Source organism: Homo sapiens, chromosome 7 (genome assembly GCF_000001405.40).
Source record: "Homo sapiens chromosome 7, GRCh38.p14 Primary Assembly".
Lineage (NCBI taxonomy): Eukaryota > Metazoa > Chordata > Mammalia > Primates > Hominidae > Homo > Homo sapiens.
In genome coordinates, this window is record NC_000007.14 from 43,731,568 (window position 1) to 43,753,243 (window position 21,676).

Here is a 21,676-nt window from a genome sequence, read left to right on the forward strand (position 1 = left end):
AATGCCTTGTAGGAATGTCTAATAAGTTTCCTTATTGTTTTTGTTTTCTGTTTTTCTGAGACTGAGTCTCACTCTGTCGCCCAGGCAGGAATGCAGTGGCATGATCTCAGCTCACTGCAACCTCTGCCTCCCGGGTTCAAGCAATTCTCCTGCTTCAGCCTCCCAAGTAGCTGTAACTACAGGCATGCACTGCCACGCCTGGCTAATTTTTGTATTTTTAGTAGAGAAGGGGTTTCACCATGTTGGCCAGGCTTCTCTTGAACTCCTGACCTCAGTGATCCACCCACCTTGGCCTCCCAGAGTGCTGGGATCCTTACTGTTTTCTGATAGAGATGCCATAAAGATTAAATGGGTTAAAATAGTGCTGGTCATATTGTAAGTATTTTAAGTGCTTAATAAATTTTAGTTATTATTAACTCACCTTAAGTCAGGGATTCTGTTTCTTATAGCCAAAATTACCCATCAAAATACACATTCTACCTCTCTTTTTCTATATATTTAAAGAAAGGGTCTGTTTTGATACTTTTAAACTAAGGAGCCAGGGAAGGGGTAGGAGGTGAAGAGAGGAGGGGCTGACTATAATGCTGTATGAGGGCTACTGTTAAGTGGTTAAATGGCTGCTTTGAGATTCACTCAAGAGCAGCAGGATCCTATAACTATCAAATCTGAATGAGGTTACTACACATCGTAGTTGTATGTATACATGAAAGTATCATTTCCTGCATATTAATATTGTGATCCACTGCCTTACTAAGTTGCTTTATTGTTTGGAGTTCATTCTGGTAGAATTTCTAAGATTGCAATCTTATCATTGAAATAGTTTTACCTACTTCTTTCCAAGTTTTATACCTCTACTTTCTCATATCTAATTGTTTTGGCTAGTATCTCCAGTAAAATATTTAATAATAATAATGACAGTAGACTTTTATGTCTTATTCCTATCTTTAATGAGATATCTTTAGAATTTTCCCATTAAGCATGATGCTGGTTTTAAGGACTGAAGTAGACATCTTTTATCATGTTAAGGAACTATCCACCTATTGAGAGAAAGAAGAAAATTTTGGCATAAGAGCTTTGAGAAAACAAAGCATTGAGCGTGCCATAATGTCCTGTCATAAAAATAAGTAAAAGTTAGACAGTATTTACCTCAAAGACACTGAGAAAATTAACATTAGCTAGGTTGGTATGAATGTCCTTTCTTGCTTATCTTACTACCAGCATGAAATTCAGTCCTGCCTAGTTTGTTTACAAGAAATTCACCTGTGATATCCTGATTTTTAACCCTGAAAAAGTTATTTATCTCTTACAATATGTCCTGTTTAATGTAAAGTTAATGCTTGCTCTACATGTTTTTTGTTTTTTGCTTTTGTGTTTGCTTTTACATGTACTCCAAGCACATGCTCTACATGTTTGTTATAGGAAATAATGTGCACCTCCTATAATTTTGTTATAGGAAATTGTAGCTGTTCAAATATGCTGATTGCAAAAAATAAAGGACATTTTATAATAATTGGGTTAGATCATCAAGAAGATATAACAGTCTTAAATTTGTATGAATCTGGCCAGGCGCAGTGGCTCACGCCTGTAATCCCAGCACTGTGGGAGGCTAAGGCAGGCGGATCACGAGGTCAGGAGTTCGAGACCAGTGTGACCAACATAGTGAAACCCCATCTCTACTAAAAATACAAAAATTGGCCAGGCGTCGTGGTGCGCATCTGTAATCCCATCTACTCAGGAGGCTGAGGCAGTAGAATCGCTTGAACCTGGGAGGCAGAGGTTGCAGTGAGCCGAGATCGTGCCACTGCACTCCAGCCTGGGCAACAGAGCGAGACTCCGTCTCAAAATAAAAAAAATTGTTTGGAACTAATAGCAGAGCTTCAATAAATGTGAAGCAAAGACTGACAGGACAATTCAAAAAATTGGAAATTGTAGGCTGGGTGCGGTGGTTCACACCTGTAGTCCCAGCACTTTGAGAGGCCAAGGTGGACGGATCGCGAGGTCAGGAGTTCAAGACCAGCCTGACCAACAGGGTGAAACCCTGTCTCTTCTAAAAATACAAAAATCGGCCTGGCATGATGGCGTGCACCTGTAATCCCAGCTACTCAGGAGGCTGAGGCAGGAGAATTGCTTGAACCCAGGAGGTAGAGGTTGCAGTGAGCCGAGATTGCAGCACTGCACTCCAGCCTGGGTGACAGAGTGAGACTCCATCTAAAAAAAAGAAGAAAAAAGAAAAGAAAAATTGAAAATTGTAGTGGAGATTTTAACATTCATCTCTCAGCAATTAATAGAAAAACTAGACCAAAAAATCAGTAAGTGCATAAAAAACTGGAGCAACACTATTAACCAACTTGACCTGTTTAATATTTATAGAACACTCCATAAATAGCTAAATGCACCTTTTAAGTGTGTAGAATATTTTTATGCCAGTTCATAAACATTGATAAACTTAAATACATTGAAATTGTATAAAGTTTTTTGTCTTACCATAATTATAAATTAGTAACAGATATCTGGAAAACACAAATATTTTGAAATTAAGTAACACACTTCTTTTGAAATTAAGTATACATTTTGACTCATGGGTCAAAGAAGTAATGGTAAAGGAAACAGGCGTATTTTGAAGTGAATAAAAATAAAAATATATATCAAAAGGCATTGAATGCAGTTAAAGTAGTGCTTTAGAGAGGAAAATTATAGCATTGCATTCTTAATATAAGGAATAAAAATATAAGAAAAGAAAAAGTATAAGTTAAATTATTTTAGCTTCCACTTTAAGAAATTGGGGGGAAAATTAAAAATAATAGAAAATGAAATAATAAAGATAATTTTGGAAATCAATTAAGTAAAAGAGCTAGTTCTTTTTTCAGTTTATTTATTTTTGAGATGAAGTCTTGCTATGTTTCCTAGGCTGGTCACAAACTTCTGGGCTCAAGCAATCCTCCCACCTCAGTCTTTGGAGTAGCTGGGGATTACAGGCACTCAACACTGCACCCAGCTAAAAAAGCTGGTTTTTTTAAAAGACCTGTAGGGTCTAGCCCTACGGGGCTTAGCGGGTGTTCTCCCCATGTGCGGAGACAAGAGATTGTAATAAATAAAGACACAAGACAAAGAGATAAAGAGAAAGCAGCTGGGCCCGGGGGACCACTACCATCAAGATGCGGAGACCGGTAGTGGCCCTGAACGGCTGGGCTCGCTGATATTTATTGCATACAAGACAAGGGGGCAGGGTAAGGAGGGTGAATCTTCTAAGTGGTTGACAACGTGAAGCAAGTCACATGATCATAGGACAGGGGGCCCTTCCCTCTTAGGTAGCCAAAGCAGAGAGAGAGAGAAGGCAGCATACGTCAGCGTTTTCTTCTATGCACTTATAAGAAAGATCAAAGACTTTAAGACTTTCACTATTTCTTCTACTGCTATCTACTACGAACTTCAAAGAGGAACCAGGAGTATGGGAGGAACATCAAAGTAGACAAGGAGCATGACCGTTGAAACACAGCACCACAGGGAGGGGTTTAGGCCTCCGGATGACTGCGGGCAGGCCTGGATAATATCCAGCCTTCCACAAGAAGCTGGTGGAGCAGAGTGTTCCCTGACTCCTCCAAGGAAAGGAGACTCCCTTTCACAGTCTGCTAAGTAACAGGTGCCTTCCCAGACACTGGCATTACCGCTTGACCAAGGAACCCTCAAGCGGCCATTATGCAGGCGTGACAGAGGGCTCACCTCTTGCCTTCTAGGTCACTTCTCACAATGTCCCTTCAGCACCTGAGCGTATACCCGCTGGTTATTCCTAGGTTATATTAGTAATGCAACAAAGAATAATATTAAAAGCTAATGATTAATAATGTTTATAATAATGATTGATAATTGTCCATGATCATCTCTATATCTAATTTGTATTATGACTATTCTTATTCTAACTGTTTTCTTTATTATACTGAAACAGTTTGTGCCTTTAGTCTCTTGCCTTGTCACCTAGGTGATCCTCCGCCCACAAGACCAATAAAATTGGTAAACCTGTAGCTAAACTGATCAGTCAAAAGAAAGAGAGAGAGAACACAAATTACCAATATCAGGAATGAAAGAAGAGAAATCAGTAGAGATCAGTAGAGACATTAGAAGAAAAATAAGGAGTTCTGTTTCTAGTTAGAGCTGAGTACCTCCTATTGGACCAATCTTCCCATAGATAAAAACTAAAAGCTCTGGACCAAGTACAAAAAATAACTACCTAAAGGTACTGGAGAACACCCTAAGAAGGTAGATACCAGAGGGAAGTTGATGCTGGGAAGAAAGGAATGGGACCCAGGGGGTTTCCCATTGTCATGGGCTTTCTGCTTGAGGACAGGCCCCAGTTGTTACTCTCAATCTTACTGGCTTCAAAAACCAGAGTTTTTGATACATAGTGCATCTGGAAAGTGGGGGGAAATCCAAGAAAGGAAATCCCCCATAAAGGAAAGAAGTCAGAGAGAAGGCAAACCAAACTATTTGTATGTATGAGCTGCCCACATTTCTGGCTGACATCTGAAACATACATGTGTCAAACCTTTTGAGCCATCTAAGACTCAAAAACTGAAGGCCGGCCAGGCACAGTGACTCACTCCTATAAACCTAGCACTTTGGTAGGCCAAGGCAGGAGGATTGCTTGGAGCCAGGAGTTCAAGATCAGCCTAGGCAAGATAGCAGGACCTCATCTCTAAAAAAAAAAAATTTTTTTTATAGCCAAGCATGGTGGCACATGCCCATAGTCCCAGCTACAGATGTGAGGCTGAGGTGAGAGGATTGCTTGAGCCCAGGACTTTGAGGTTATAGTGAGCTATGATTGCATCATTGCATTCCAGCTAGAGCAACAGCGTGAGATAAGGAAGGAAGGAAGGAGGGAGGGAGGGAGGGCAAATTAACAATATCAGATATGAAAGAGGAGGAGTTATTACAGGTCCTGCAAACATTAAAAGTTCTGAAGATGGTATGACCTTCACAGATGTCCTGAAATGAAGCAAAAGGTTAAACTTTAACACCCCCACATTGTATATCAGCCACTCCAGGAGGGAACCACGACCAAGAATGAAACAGTTCTTTTTCACCGAGGCAGTTCCTGAAGGAAGCGCCTAAGCCAGTGGGGTAATGAGCATTTCATTCCTAGGCTGTGCACCGCAGCAACCACCATCCACCTATGAGAGGAAGGGAGGGAAATATTTGGAGAGAGTCTGATTAGATCTAAGATGTATCAGTAGCTCAACAAAAGAACAAGAAAAAAATTAATTAGGGAAAGCATCCTGGAAGATGTCCTAAAAAAATAGGATTTAGGCAATGGAAAAGAAGAGCATTTCCAGCCAAGGAAATATTGAGACAAAGCACAGAGTTACAAAAAGGAGGAGCTAATTTCTAAAATTATTGAAACTTTATGTGGATTTCCAAGAATCTTGTTTTTTTAAAAAAATTTATTTTGAAATAATTATAGATTCACAGGAAATTTAGGAGAAAAAATGTAAAGAGCAGTCCTGTGTACCCTTCACCCAGTATTCTGCAGTGGTAACATAGCTATACAACAGTGTTGAAACCAGTGATGGCAGTGACTGCTGCCATCATGGCGACTGCAGCCGGGAAGTATGGCTGGGACTGCACATGCCATGGAGCCAGTGGGACCCCTGCCCCTTCTGAGTTGGGACAGCTCTGAAACCTCAGCTGCAGACCCAGGTCTCCTCCTCTATGGAGCAGGCAGGAAACCTGCCCTCCTGGGCAGAGCTACAGCCACCCAAACTGCAGCTGTGGATCCGAGCTTCCCTGTGCTCTTGGGGGAGCCAGGAACAGGAAGGATCTGCCCTCCCAGGTGCAGCTGCAGCTGCCCATGCCCACGGCTGCAGACGTGGGCCTCCTGGCTCCAGGAAGCAGGCAGGAGCTGAGGATATGCAGGAGCCCTGCTCCGTCCAAGATGGCAGGGTGGGAACTCCCAGGTGCAGCTGTGGCTGCCCCCTTTCCTCCCCCAACCCCCAACATTCCTGCAGCCTTGGGGGTGTCTTATCCTGCTGCCTGGCCTCTCTCCACTCCTAGCACCTGCTCTGATCTCTGACTAGGGATTGAGGCCGAGCCCTAGGGCCATGAATGGCAGCAGGAGGCAGATTGATTCTTGGGCAGAAAAGGACAGGTCCCCAGTAAGGCCCCACCTTCAGGCCAGGGAGGGCCTAAAGACTGGGGGCCAGGCTGCCAGTCCCACCACTGGAGTGGGGACTCATGGTGCCTCTTCCGGGTGCCCATGGCTGCCCATGGACCAATCAGCCGGCCCTTCCTCCCCTCTGAGGTCCATAAAGCCCTGGGCTCAGCCAGAGCAGGGTAGAGGATGGCCAGAGGAGGAAGAGGACAGAGAGAGGGTGGGAGGACCAGCTGCAGAGAGGAGTACCCTCTCCACTGAGAGCTGCAGAGATGATCTGCTGGCAGAGAGGAGCCACCCTCTCTGGAAGAGCTTCAGAGACCTGCAGAGACATTCAAATGACTTGCCTACGGAGGGAAGCCACCATCTCCAGGGCCTTCTCTCTGCTGAGAGCCGAACACTCAATGAGAAGACCTGCCTACAGAGAGGAGCTACCCACTCCTCTGAACTATTCTAACACTAAATAAAACTCTTCTTCTTCACCCTTCACTTGCCTGCATACCTCATTCTTCCTGGACACAGGACAAGAACTCAGGCAAAGGCGCCTCGGCCACAGAGGTTTCTGACCAGAAAAGTTGACACCCCAGAGATCCTGTAACACCAGGAAGTTGACATTGGTACAATCCACAGAATTTATTCAGATTTCACCAGTTTTATATGCACATCTGTGTGTGTGTGTGTGTGTGTGTGTGTGTGTGTGTGTGTGTGTGTAGTTCTATGCAATTTTATCACATTTCTATTCATCTAACCATCACCCCAGTTAAGATTCCAAACAATTTCATCACAAGGATCCCTGCTACTTCCCTTTCATAGCCACAGTCAATTCCTGTCTTTCCTGCCAGACCCTCTCTGTAAGCCTTAGCAACCACTAATCTGTTCATCTCTGTAACTTTATGGCAAGTATGCCGTCTTTTCAGTTACGATATAGCTTTCATTACAGCCAATGTTACTTTGTGAGAAACTTAGTAGCATCTTCATCTTGGATTTTTAAAGCTTCTAATAAATTCCTTCATTTAGTAGTCAGATTATCCAAGACACTTTTACCAAGGTTATTGCAAACCTACTGTCACTAAATTTCTGTTCTCCAGTTCTTCCTCTTACTCTGAAAGATGATTTTTTCCAATGCTTTACAAAACAACTATGATGAGCAGATGTGAGTGATTTTACCTACTTTTTTTCTTTTTCTTTGGTTTTTTTTTTTTTTTTTTTTTTTGAGACAGGGTCTCACTTTGTCACCCAGGCTGGAGTGCAGTGGCAAGATCTTGGCTCACTGGAATCTGCACCTTCCGAGTTCAAGCTATTCTCCTGCCTCAGCCTCCCGAGTAGCTGGGATTACAGGTGCCCACGACCACGACAGGCTAATTTTTGTATTTTTAGTACAGACAGCATTTTCCCATGTTGTCCAGGCTGGTCTCGAACTCCTGACCTCAGGTGATCCACGCGCCTCGGCCTCCCAAAGTGCTGAGATTACAGGTGTGAGCCACCGCACAAGACTGGGTAATTTATAAGAAAATGGCTCACAGTTCTGCAAGCTATACAGGAAGCATAGTGCACCTGCTTCTGGGGAGGCTTCAGGGAGCTTTCAATCATGGCAGAAGGCAAAGGAGGAAGCTAGAGTCTTACATGGCAGGAGCAGGAGTAAGAGAGACAGTTGGAGGGAGGTGCTACACACTTTTAAACTACCAGATCTCTTGAGAACTATCACGAGGACAGCACCAAGAGAATGGTGCTAAACCATTCATGAGGAATCCACCCCCATGATCCAATCACCTCCCACCAGACCTCACATCCAATACTGAGGATTACAATTCAACATGAGATGATATACAAACTATATCACCATTCTACTGGAAGCAAAGTGGTATTTCATTGTGTTTTATATTTGCATTTCCTTGATGAGTACTGGTGTTGAGCATCTTTTCAAGTGCTTATATATATATCTCCTTTGGAGAAATGCCTGTGTAGATCCTTTACCCCTTTTTAAATTGGTCTCTTGGTCTTTTTTTAAAAATGAGTTGCAATACTTCTTTATATATTCTAGATACAAGTCCCTTATCAGATACATAATTTGCAAAAAAAATTAACTTATTCTATGAGTTGTCTTTTCACTTTCTTGATGGTGTTCTTTGAAGCACAAAAGATTACCAAAATTGATCACATTCTTTGTTATAAGAAAACATTTCCATAAAAGAAGTAGAGAATGTTATTAAGAAACTACTCCCCAAAAGCACCAGGCCTAAATAGTTTCATAGAAAAATTCTGCTGAACTTTCGAAGACCAAATAGTCCCAATGTTTTCTACATTATTCTAGAACATTGAAAAGGAAGAAAATCTTCTTAACTCCTTTTATAAAGCAAGTATAACACTGATACCAAACCAGATAAAGTCAGTGCTAAGAAAGAAAACTACAGGTCAATATCATGAATATTGATGCAGAAACATAAATATTAGCAAATGGAATCTAACAACACATTAAGAAAACAATGCACACCATGAATTAGTGGATTTATTCCAGGATGCAACATTGGTCCAATATCAAGAAAAATTCACATGGTTCTTTCCATAAATGATGAAAAAGCCTTTGATAAATTTTCATACCTTTTCATTATTTTTAAAAAAAAAAAACCTCTTAAGAAAAAAGGAATTGAAGGAGACTTTCCTAATATGACAATGTTTACACACATACGTACATATACACACACATTTTAGTTTTAAAGTCAATATCTTACTTAATGGGAAACACTAGAAGTATTTCCATTAGGATCAGAAACAAAGTAACTTTTCACCACAGAGAGAAATCCAATCAGTCAGAAGAATGAATAATGTATAAGTAACCCTATTTCTTTTTCTTTTTCTTTTTCTTTTTTCTTTTTCTTTTTTTTTTTTTTTTTTTAGGCAGGCTCTCACTCTGTCACCCAGGCTGGAGTACAATGGCACAATCTCGGCTCACTGCAACCGTCGCCTCCCAGGTTCAAGCGATTCTCGTGCCTCAGCCTCCCAAGTAGCTGGAACTATAGGCACATGCCACCACGCCTGACTAATTTTTGTATTTTTCGGTAGAGATGGGGTTTCACCGTGTTGGCCAGGCTGGTCTTGAACTCCTGGCCCCAAGTGATCTGCCAGTCTCGGCCTCCCAAAGTGCTGGGATTACAGATGTGAGCCACTGTGCTCAATCGTAACTATTTTTGTTTGTAGATGATATGATAGTAAAACCTGAAAACCCTCAGAGAAACAATGATAAAAATAACTCAAGTAGTGACATGACTTATTAAAAATGCAGGCCATAAAGTTAATATATGATGATCATATCATATATGCCTTCATAGACACAGACATTAAACAGAGGACTAAAAGGTAGAGAAAACCCTATTTATGATAGCAACAAAAAATATTAAATACTTGGATTGAATTTATCAAGAAATATGCAAAACCTACATGAGAAAGATTTTAAAACACCCTTGAAAGATACAAATACAGACTAGAACACCACCATTAAAAAAAAAAACCTCATTATAAAGATTTATAATGAGTTAATTTATAAATTCCCTAAGTTAATTTATAAATTCAACGCAATCTCAAAGAAATTACCAACAAGCTATTTTAGAGCATTAGACAAGTCAATACTTAAGTTTATATGGAAAAGCAGAGATTCCAGAGTTGCCAGGAAAACAATGAAAAAGAAAAATTGTGAGGGTAGCCTTATTAGATATTAAAACATACTATAAAGCTGCCATAATTAAAACAGTGATACAGGCACATGAATAGATAAGTAGATAAGTGGAATATTATGGAAAGCCTAGAAATAGACCCAAGTACTGTACATATGGAAATTTAGATAGAAGCCATCTCTCAAATCACTGAGGTAGACATTTTAATAAATGGTTCTGAGAAAACTAGGTAGTCACTTGGAAAAATGATAAAATCATATTCATACTTCACACAATAAACGAGAAGAAACTCCAAATGGATTAAGAATCTATATGTAAAAAATAAAACTATACAAGTAAGAGGGGAAAAAAAGACCATAGGTGAATTCCTATTACACTTTGGGGTAGGAAAAGGTTTTTAAAACTATGACTTCAAATCTAGAGGCATTAAAAGATGGATAAATTTGGCCAGGTGCAGTGGCTCATGCCTGTAATCCCAGCACTTTGGGAGGCTAAGGTGGGCAGATCATGAGGTCAGGAGTTGGAGACCAGCCTGGCCAACATGGTCAAACCCCATCTCTACTAAAAATACAAAAAATTAGCCAGGCATGGTGCCAGGCACCTGTAATCCCAGCTTCTCGGGAGGCTGAGGCAGGAGAATCGCTTGAACCTGGGAAGCAGAGGTTGTAGTGAGCTGAGACCATGCCACTGCACTCCAGCCTAGGCAACAGAGCAAGACTCCATCTCAAAAACAAACAACAACAACAAAAAAGATAAATTTGACAGAAAATTAAATTTTAAAATTTTGCATGACAAAAGCACCATAAACAAAATCTAAAGACAACTATTAAATGTAAGAAAATATTCAATTTGCAATATATCTTCTGGCTGGGTGCACAATATATTATGTGGCTGGGTGCAATATATGATGTAGGTGCAGCCACATGACGTATTGTAGGGCACTTTGGGAGGTTCAAGGGGGAGGATCATTTAAGGCCAGGAATCCAAGATCAGCCTAGGCAACATAGTGTGACCCCTTCTCTATAAAAAAAAAGAATTAAAAATTAGCCAGGCATGGTGACATGCACCTGTAGTCCCAAGGAGGCCAAGGCAGGAGGATCACTTGAGCCCAGGAATTCAAGGCTGCAGTAAGCTATGATCACATCACTGCACTCCAGTCTGGGTGACAAAGTAAGACCCTGTCTCCAAAAATAAAAATAAATATATCATGTAAAAATGACTAATATCCCTAATTTATAAAGAAATCTTGTCAGTTGAGGGACAAAGAGCCAAAAATCCAATACAAACTTGGAAAAAGACATGAACTGACAATTCACAATATAAAGGCCATGAAAAATATGAAAAAAAGTGTAAACTCATTCACTATAGAAAAATACAACTGACATAATACTTTACACTTAGGCAAAAATGTTAAAGTATGACAATACATCCTGTTGGTGAGGCTGTAGGGAAATAAACCTCATTGCTGGTGGATTTTCAAATTTGTGCAACTCTTCTGAAAGGGAATTTTGGCCATGTCTAACAAAGCTAATAGGTACTTTTTGGCACAGCCATCCTACTTCTGGGAATCTACTGTGAATATGCAACTTTAAGCTGTATATTATGAAATATGAAAATATACATCCATGAGCATTGTTTTTAATGCATAGCATTGGAAATAACCTAAATTCCCATTTTATAGGAAATAGGGGAAGAACAGAGAAAAGGAAACAGAGATGGAAAGTAATCCTCTGAAAATACCAAGTTTTATGGCTTTTATTTTGGAACCAAATATATGTTATACATAATTTAAAACAAAAATTTAAATTAAAAATACATTTAAACATCAAACTCTAAAAACAAAGGAAAAATGAAACAAATGAGACTAATTCTACATAAAGTTAGGACCAGGTGCACTGGCTAACACCTGTAATCCCAGCACCTGGGAAGCCAAGGTAAGCGGATTGCTTGAGTTCAGGAGTTCGAGACAAGCCTGGGAAACATGGTGAAACCCCGTCACTACTAAAAATACAAAAATTAGCCCAGTGTGGTGGTGCGCACCTGCATTCCCAGCTACTCAGAAGGCTGAGGCAGGAGGATTACTGGAATCTGGGAGGCGGAGGTTGCAGTGAGCCGAGATCATGCCACTGCACTCCTGCCTGTGTTACAGAGTGAGACTCTGTCTCAAAAAAAAAAAGCAAAAAAGAAAAGGTAGTGGTATAAACACTTGGAGAAAGATTATCATGTATTTATGGGTTTTTTTTCCTTTTCTTTTTTTTTTTTTTTTGAGACAGTCTCACTCTGTCACCTAGGCTAGAGTGCAATGTTTCAAGCTCGGCTCGCTGCAACTTCCGCCTCCCATGTTCAAGCAATTCTCCTGCCTCAGCCTCCCGAGTAGCTGAGACTACAGGCGCCCACCACCATGCCTGGCTAATTTTTTTTTTTTAATTTTAGTAGAGACGGGGTTTCACCATGTTGCCCAGGGTGGTCTCAAACTCCTGAGCTCAGGCAATCTACCCACCTTGGCCTCCCAAAGTGCTAGGATTACAGGTGTGAGCCACCATGCCCGCCTTTTTTTTTTTTTTTCTTTTGAGACACAGTCTCACTCTGTCGCCCAGGCTGGGAATGGAGTGGCTCAGTCTTGGCTCACTGCAACCTCCACCTCCCGGGTTCAAGCAATTCTCGTGCCTCAGCCTCCCAAGTAGCTGGGATTACAGGCCAAGTGCCACCACGCCCAGCTAATTTTTTATTTTTAGTAGAGACAGTGTTTCTCCATGTTGACCAGGCTGGTCTCAAACTCCTGACCTCAAGTGATACACCTGCCTTGGCCTCCCAAAGTGCTGGGATTACAGGTGGCATGAGCTACTACGCCCAGCCATGATTATCATGACTTTAAAGCACTGTATTTTAACTATACATCTCATGACAAAAATATCTGCAAAGAAATTATAAATTGAATTCAGTACATTTCTATTTGGAGTAATATTATCATTTTGATGTTATAATAGTTTATATATTTAATGTATATGTGTGTATTAGGATAAAAGACAATAAATAATTATATAAGTGTTGCTGGGAACCAACATTTTCACAACAAGAAAATGGGATGCAAATACAAAATCAAAGAATAAAAACCTAGTAGTCTTTATTTTGAATTAAAAGTATTGGTAATAAGTATAGAATTAACTTATTTTTCTCTCCCAAAGAAATAAATATTTCCAGGCCAGGCATGATGGCTCATGCCTGTAATCCCAGCACTTTGGGAGGTAGAGGTGGGAGGATTGCTTGAGCCCAGCAGTTGGAGGTTATAGCGAGCTATGGCCACAGCATTGCACTCTAGCTTGGACAACAGAATAAGACCCTGTCTCAAACAAACAAACAAATAAACAAATAATATCCTAGCCGTATTTACTAAAAAGTCCTACAAATAATGATAACCCATTAGCAACGAATATCCCTAGTGGTCGGATTGTGGTCTTTTTTTTTTTTTTTTTTTTTTGAGACGGAGTCTCATTCTGTCGCCCAGGCTGGAGTGCAGTGGCACGATCTCGGCTCACTGCAAGCTCCGCCTCCCGGGTTCACGCGATTCTCCTGCCTCAGCCTCCTGAGTAGCTGGGACTACAGGCGCCCACCACCACACCCGGCTAATTTTTTGTATTTTTAATAGAGACGGGGTTTCACTGTGTTAGGCAGGATGGTCTCGATCTCCTGACCTCGTGATCCGCCCGCCTCGGCCTCGCAAAGTGCTGGGATTACAGGCATGAGCCACCGCGCCCGGTCCGGATTGTGGTCTTTAATACCATTCCTCTCCAAGAGAAACCAGGGCTCTTTGAAGAAATTATCATCTCCAGATATGGAACGGGAAATATGAAAAATGAACCTGAAATATCTTGTTATATCTGAAAGGAGGAAAGCTATCAAAGTCTACTGGAATCACGTTAAAAGAATGCAGACATCAACTGGACCCAGCCAAATATGCGGCAAATTTGAGCATCAAAATAAATAATGACTATCTTGAATCAAAATTCATTAAATCTATATGAAAACCTATAAGTTCATAGTGTTAACTACAGAAACTACTTTCCTGATTCTTTTTGGTGGTTGTTAGAACACCAACAGTGTTCTGAATATAGGTAAGTAAGGAAAAACAAGTAAGCATTCATCTGCATTTTCTATATATATTATATTTCAGGGTAACCAAATAGCTGATGAGGGAAAATTCTTCTGAATAGAAGAATTCCAACTAATAAACAAAAGGAGAATGACAGATTTATTTTATTTTATTCTATTTTTTTGAAGCAGTCTCACTCTGTTGCCCAGGCTGGAGTACAGCGGCGCCATCTTGGCTCACTCCAACCTCCATTGCCAGGGTTCAAGTGATTCTCCTGCTTCAGCCTCCTGACTAGCTGGGATTACAGGCATGCGCCACCACACCTGGCTCATTTTGTATTTTTAGTAGAGATAGGGTTTCACCATGTTGGCCAGGCTGGTCTCCAACTCCTGACCCCAAGTGATCAGCCCACCTTGGCCTCCCAACATGCTGGGACTACAGGTGTGAGCCACTGTGCCAAGCCCAAGAATGACAGATTTAGAAGATCACCTGGAACAAAATAGGCAGTTGGGCATACAAGTTTGAGCTTCAGAGAGCAATCTAGCCTGAAGGTACATATTCAGAAGTCATTAGAATATGATGCATCATGAAAGCCTGAGGAATTTGTGGGAATCCAGGAGGGGACTGAATGAGAACCAAGGGTGCAACTGGCCATATTGTCAACACGGAGGGCCAGGCAGAGGAAGAATAACTAGTGAAAGTGGCTAAGCTGAATTAGGCAGAGATGTATGAGGAAGAAACATGGAAGGATAGGTTAGTGCTGCATAACGCAACGGGGGAGAGCTTCATGAAAGCAGGAAGGAAGGGGGCCATGGGGAGAAGGGGCTGCAGAAGGGGGTCACCATGGCAGATGCAATGGAGAGGCTAAGTAGGGTGACACCTGGGAAGCCCACACTGGCAGTAGGGATCTTCAGTTATGGTGGAGGACAGAGGTAGAAGCCAGACTTCAATACACTGAGAAACACAGGAAAGTCTGTTGGTAAAAGAAAAAAAACATGGAGAGTGGCCTGAGAGCTATGTAGATTCCATGAGAATTTCTAGGAGTCAAGCCAGTTTATAACCTCACAGGGTCCTGTGAGGACAGAGTCAGAGAGAATGAGCGAGAAGGACTGAGCTTTGTGGTCCAAAAAGTTAAGAAGAGTCTGGGTGTTGTGGCTCATGCCTGTAATCCCAGCACTTTGGGAGGCCAAGGCAGGTGGATCACCTGAGGTCAGGAGTTTGAGACCAGCCTGGCCAACATGGTGAAACCTTGTCTCTACTAAAAATACAAAAATTAGCCAGACGTGTTGGTGGGCACCTGTAATCCCAGCTACTCGGGAGGTTGAGGCAGGAGAATCACTTGAACCGGGAGGTGGAGGTTGTGGTGAGCCGAGATTGCGCCACTGCACTCCAGCCTGGGCAACAGAGTGAGACTCTGTCTCAAGAAAAAAAAAAAAGAAGATTCTGGCTTGATGGTATCAAAAAAAAAAAAAAACATTATTAAGATACAGCTGCTGAAACAATGATTCCCCAAAATACAGTGGCTTAAACAAAAGAGATCTCTCTATAGAAGACCAGTTAACTCTCCCCTACCCCTCATACCTTGATAGTGTTGGGGACAGAAGCTTTTTATTATCTTTTTTTCTTTTTTGAGACAGGATCTCACTCTGTTGCCCAGGCTGGAGTGCAGTGGAACGATCTCAGCTCACTACAACCTCAACCTCCCAGGCCCAAGTGATCCTCTGGCCTCAGTCTCCCGAGTGGATGGGACTAGAGGCATGCACCACCACACCCGGCTAATGTTTATATTTTTTTTTGTAGAGACAGGGTTTCGCTACGTTGCCCAGGCTGGTCTCCAACTCCTGGTCTCAAGTGATCGGCCCACCTCAGCCTCCCAAATCGCTGGGATTACAGGCGTGAGCCGCTGCACCTGGCCCCACTTTTTTTTTATATTGTTGCCTTATTGTGTTCTAGATTTGGGGTCAGTCAACTGTAGCCTGCAGAGAAAATTCAGCCACTCCCTGTTTCGGTAAATAAAGTTTTCCTAGAACACAGCCATGCCCATTGTTTACATATTGTCTGTGGTTGCTTTCCCCTACAACAGCAGAGTTAGCAGCTGTGACAGAGCCTAGGTGTCCCATAAAGCTGAAAATATTTACCATCTGGCCCTTTACAGAAGAAATGTGCCATTCCCTGTTCTAGGGTGTCACCCTCTTCCACAAAGGCAAAAGAGCATGCCACCATGTCCACTGGATCTACATTCCAGCCAAAATGGATGGAAACGTGAGCAGTTGAGGGAACACTCTTGTCTTTTAAGGGAATGCCTTAGAAATTGTACAAGTCACATCAATTTGCATACTTCCAATTAGAACTTAATCTCATAACCATATTTTGCTGCAAAGGAGGCTATGTAACATGGTCTATTCTGGGCAGCATGTGTCCAGCCAACATTTGGGGAACCGAAAGCAGGAGAATAGATATTGAGGTTGATTCCTTGTTTTTACGGCAGTATTGTATTAAACAGCCAACTTCACTGGGTGGACAACTACTACACTACAAACACTTAAAGAAGTGGACAAAGTCGAGTTTTCCAATCCAAATAATAGGAGATGGCTAAGTTTCCATATGTAGTTTAGACAAAAATTAAAATTTAAGTTCGAAAAGACAAAAAAATCAAGGATAAGCATTAAATGTATAGATTCATGAAGTAGTTGATACTTTACCACATCTTGATGTCCTGAAACTGAGAGGCAACTTTGAAACTTGAAGGAGGCATTGGACTGAACTGGAGTGGTGGGTGGGAGGGATGGGCTGATAATGGCCCTAATAGCCAAGGACATTGCCAGGCAGTTGGAAGAGCAGGACTGGATGCGGGGAGATTCGCCACATTCTGGCCTGGCAGATGAGCTGGGTTCACAGCTGAGTATTTAAAGCCAAAGGGGGCCGGGTGCAGTGGCTCATGCCTGTAATCCTAGCACTTTGGGAGGCCAAGGCGGGCAGATCACCTGAGGTCAGGAGTTTGAAACCAGCCTGGCCAACATGGTGAAACCACATCTCTACTAAAAATACAAAAATTAGCCTGGTGTGATGGCGGGTGCCTGTAACCCCAGCTACTCGGGAGGCTGAGGCAGGAGAATTGCTTGAACCTGGGAGGCAGAGGTTGCAGTGAGCCGAGATCGTGCCACTGCATTCCAGCCTTTGCAACAGAGCAAGACTCCGTCTCAAATAAAATAAAATAATAAAATAAAATAAAATAAAACCAAAAGGAATAGCAGAGTTGGGGGAATGCCAGGAGCATCTGCCCTAACAAAGGCAGTGCTCTCACTAAAGCCAAAAGGGAAGCTGGAGTTAAGGGTTTGGGGTGGAAGACACTGCAGAGAGTCAGCTAATGCTGATTTCTTACTAGACATCGCCCTCAGAGCTAGTGTATGAACAGTTAGTGTTTTTAGCTACTCAGAATCCATTTCCCTTGCTCTCAATACTGTTCCAGTTTCTCTGGAGAGAACTCCCTTGCCCCAACCAGTGCACATGATTTGTGTGGAGCATCAGACCTACTCCCTCCAAATCAAATCATGCTTTCCTCTGGGACACTGATTAACCCAGAGGTAGTTATGTAGCCTAATCAGAATGAAGGTGTATTAGTCTGTTCTCTTGCACTGCTATAAAGAAATACCTGAGACTGGATAATTTATAAAGAACAGAGGTTTAATTGGCTCATGGTTCCACAGGCTGTACAGGAAGCATGATGCTGGTGTTATGGGATCTTTGGGGTGTCAACTGCCTGGCCAGAAACCTCTGTGGCCAGTGGCACCTTTGCCCAAGTTCTTGTCCAAGTTCTTGTCCTACATCCGGGAGGAATGAGGTATGCAGGTAAGTGAAGGGTAAACAAGATGAAGATGAGCTTTATCAACTGTTAGAAGAGCTCAGAGGAGACCAGCAGGGGATAGCTCCTCTCTGTAGGGAGGTCATCCCATGGAGTGTCCAGCTCTCAGCAGAGAGGGTGCCCTGGAGAGGGTCACTCCTCTCTGCAGCTGGTAGTCCCGACATATCTGCAGGTCCCTGAAGCTCTCAACAGAGAGAGTAGCTCCTCTCTGCAGCTGATCGTCCTGTCCCATCAACTCTCTCTGTACTCCCCACCCTCTGCCCTCCTCTGGCTGAGCCCAGGGCTTTTATGGACCTCAGAGGGGAAGACGTGCATGCCAATTGGTCCATGGGTGGCCATGGGTGCCAGAAGAGGCACCGAGTCCCCACTCCACTCTGCAAGACTGGCAGCCTAGCCCCCAGGCTTCAGGCCCTCCCTGGCCTGAAGGAGGGGCCTTACAGGGACCTGCCCCCTTCCACCCAGGAAGCTGTCTGCCTCCTGCTGCCATTCATGGCCCTGGGGCTCAGCCCCAACCCCTCTCCTAGATCAGGGCAGGCCCCCGGAGAGGAGAGAGGCCAGGCAGCAGTGGCAGACACCCCCAGCCTCCAGGGAAGTTGGGGGGCTCTTCCTGGGCCACTGAGCGTGTAGGGTGCAGAGATGCCCGGGTCCTGAGCCTGGGATGGAGGCCACAGCTGCGCCCCAGGAGCTCTTGCCCCACCAACTCGGAAGGGGTGGAGGTCCCATTTGTCCTGGCTCCTGCCTGCTCCCTAGAGTGGGAGGCCCAGGTCTGCAACTGTGGTTGGAAGGCTGCATCTGCACCCGGGAGGGCAAATCCTACCTGCTCACGGTCCCCACCAAGAGCACAGGGAGGCTTGGATCCACAGCCGAGGTTTGGGTGGCTGCAGCCCCACCCAGGAGGGCATGGCTCCAGCCTGCTCCATAGAGCTGGAGGCCTGGGTCTGCAGCTGCAGTTTGGGCAGCTGCATCGGGACCCAGGGAGCTCCCTCTGCGACTCAGAAGGGGCGGGGCTCCCACCAGCTCTATGGAGTGTGCAGCCTCTGCTGCAGCTGGCGTGATGGCAGCTGACATCTACTTGGCTTCTGGAAAGGCATTATGAAACTTACAATCCTGGCAGAAGGGTTAACAGACTCATCTTACATGACCAGAGTGGGAGCAAGAGAGGTTGGGGGGAGGTGAGGCACACTTTTAAACGACCAAATCTCATTACCAGCACCAAGAGGAAAATCTGCCCCCATGATCTAATCGCCTCCTACCAGGCCCCACCGCCAATACTGGGGATTACAATTCGACATGAGATTTGGGCGGGAACACAGATCCAAACCATATCAGAAGGGGATGCAAGAAAACATTTTACAGGGCTCCAAGAGGGGCTTTAACAGGCACTCTTTGCCACTGAATTTGAACTTAGGAAGATAAGGCGGGGGGAAATGCCTGCTGTGCACATCTTGCCAGAGAGATTGTGTCCAAGGATTAAGCCAACAAGGAGTAGCTGACAGATATACACAGAGAAACCAGGTTCTGGGACATCACTTGCAGGACTGAGACTAGTTGTGTCTGGAGCCAATGCTCCCTTACAATTTCGTTATTGCCACAAATCAATTTATTCTCTTTTTGTTTAAGCCATGTTAGATTGAGTTTTCTCCCACTTTAAGTGGAAAAACATCTAATACTACTAGACCGTTTAAGTTCATTGTGTCACTTAATTTCACAACACTTGTGGGTCGTAGGTATTATTCTCATTTTATACAAATCAGGAAACTGAAACTTAGAAAAATTTAGTAACTTGCACAATATGCACAGCTCCTTGAACGAACTTTCAAACTCATATCTAGTTCTGAAACCCCCAAAACAACACATTAGTGGCTCTCTTATCCATTTAGTCTGCACATAGATGATCAGCTAACCACAAAAGTCAAAATGAAGAATTACTTAAAAATTCATACACAGGCCGGGCACGGTGGCTCACGCCTGTAATCCTAGCACTTTGGGAGGCCAAGGTGGGTGGACTGCCTGAGCTCAGGAGTTCGAGACCGGCCTGGGCAACACATGAAACCCCATCTCTACTAAAATACAAAAAAAAAAAAAAAATTAGCCAGGTGTGGCGGCGTGTGCCTGTAGTCCCAGCTACTCGGGAGGCTGAGGCAAGAGAATTGCTTGAACCTGGGAGGCGGAGGTTGCAGTGAGCCGAGATCATGCCATTGCACTCCAGCCTGGGTGACAGAGTGAGAATCTGTCTTAAAAAAAAAAAAATTATACACACGCCAAGCATGGTGGCTCATGCCTGTAATCACTGCACCCTAGGAGGCTGAGGCAAGAAGATCGCTTGAGCCCAGGAGTTCAAGACCAACCTAGGCAACATAGTGAGACCCTGTCTCTATTTTTTCTATTAAAATAAAATTTAAAAAATGACACATGCATACCTCACATAATTTAAACTAAAACACATAAATACATATTTGATTGTCAATCTTTTCCATAGATTCAAAGCATTTATTTGAATATATAACTGATGATTAGAAGTTGGCATGGGTGTGTGTGTGTGCTTGTGTGTGTGTGACAGGTTCTCACTCTGTCACTCAGGCTGGAGTGGAGTGGCATGATCACAGCTCACTACAGCCTCAACCTCCCAGGCTCAAGCTATCCTCCCACCTCAGCCTCCCAAATAGCTGGGACTACAGATATGCACTACTACACCTGGCTAATTTTTGTATTTTTTATAGAGATGAGGTCTTGCTATGTTGCCCAAGCTGGTCTTGAACTCCTGGACTCAAGCGATCCATCTGCCTCGGCCTCCCAAAGTGCTGGGATTACAGGCATGAGCCATGGCACCTGGCCTAGAGTTTCATATCATCGTTTCTGCATGACCCACACTAGGCATCATCAAAGATTTCTAATATTTATTTAAAGGAGAGCTTTAAAATACTTTCAGAGTATTTTGAGTGCAGAACCCTACATTTTTTTCCTTCCGGCATTTTACAGTTGCTTTCCCACTTCTAATCCAACAGCAATTTTTTAAATGATCCTCTTCTATCAAGTCTTTCCAAAGCATTCAACTTAATTTTCTTAGGAATAACTTCTTTTTAAATTAATTAATGAGTTTATATATTTACTTAAATTATATAATTACAATAAAAAATATAACTGGCATTGGCATACATAGGCTGCATTAGTTTGTAGGGCCACCCAACAAAGTTCCATAAACTAGGTGGCTTAGAGCAACACAAATGTATTGTCTCAGCTCTGGAGGCCGGAAGTCTGAAAATCAAGGTGTCAGCAGGGTTGCGCTTCATCTGCAACCTGGAGGGGAAGGCTCTTTCACTGCTTCTTCTTGTCTTTAAGTCGTTTGCTGACAGTCTTTGGCACTCCTTGGCTTGCAGATGCATCAGTCCATTTCTCTGTCTTCATGTGGCCATTTTCTCTGTGTGGGTGTCTGTGATGGTTAATATTGTCAACTTGATTAGATTGAAAGATGCAAAGTATCGTTCCTGGGTATGTCTGTCAGGGTGTTACCAAAGGAGATTAACATTTGAGTCAGTGGACTGGGAAAGGGAGACCCTCCTTCAATCTGGGTGGGCACAATCTAATCACCTGCCAGTGGAGCCAGAATGAAAGCAGGCAGAGGAACATGGAAAGACTAGACTGGCTTAGCCTCCCAGACTACATCTTTCTCCTGTGCTGGATGCTTCCTGCCCTAGAACATTGGACTCCAAGTTCTTCAGCTTTGGGACTCTGACTGGCTTCCTTGCTCCTCAGCTTGCAGATAGCCTACATTGTGGGACCTTGTAATCATGTAAGTCAATATTCCTTAATAAACTCCTATATCCTATTAGGTCTAGTTCCTCTAGAGAACCCTGACTAATACAGTGTCTGTGCATCCAACTTTCCTCTTCTCGTAAGGACACCAGTCATACTAG

General features: G+C 43.1%; 4 annotated features.

The window, feature by feature from the left end:
- Positions 3,477-3,556: an enhancer, noted in NCBI's record as "active region_25915". NCBI's record gives its function as "activates an Ori minimal core promoter by ATAC-STARR-seq in GM12878 lymphoblastoid cells {active_cell/tissue: GM12878}" and the evidence as "EXISTENCE:reporter gene assay evidence [ECO:0000049][PMID:35858748]".
- Positions 4,062-4,541: an enhancer, noted in NCBI's record as "active region_25916". NCBI's record gives its function as "activates an Ori minimal core promoter by ATAC-STARR-seq in GM12878 lymphoblastoid cells {active_cell/tissue: GM12878}" and the evidence as "EXISTENCE:reporter gene assay evidence [ECO:0000049][PMID:35858748]".
- Positions 17,979-18,498: an enhancer, noted in NCBI's record as "H3K4me1 hESC enhancer chr7:43789145-43789664 (GRCh37/hg19 assembly coordinates)". NCBI's record gives its function as "activates a minimal SCP1, AML or CMV promoter by ChIP-STARR-seq in primed H9 embryonic stem cells {active_cell/tissue: H9 hESC(primed)}" and the evidence as "EXISTENCE:reporter gene assay evidence [ECO:0000049][PMID:30033119]".
- Positions 18,499-19,018: an enhancer, noted in NCBI's record as "H3K4me1 hESC enhancer chr7:43789665-43790184 (GRCh37/hg19 assembly coordinates)". NCBI's record gives its function as "activates a minimal SCP1, AML or CMV promoter by ChIP-STARR-seq in primed H9 embryonic stem cells {active_cell/tissue: H9 hESC(primed)}" and the evidence as "EXISTENCE:reporter gene assay evidence [ECO:0000049][PMID:30033119]".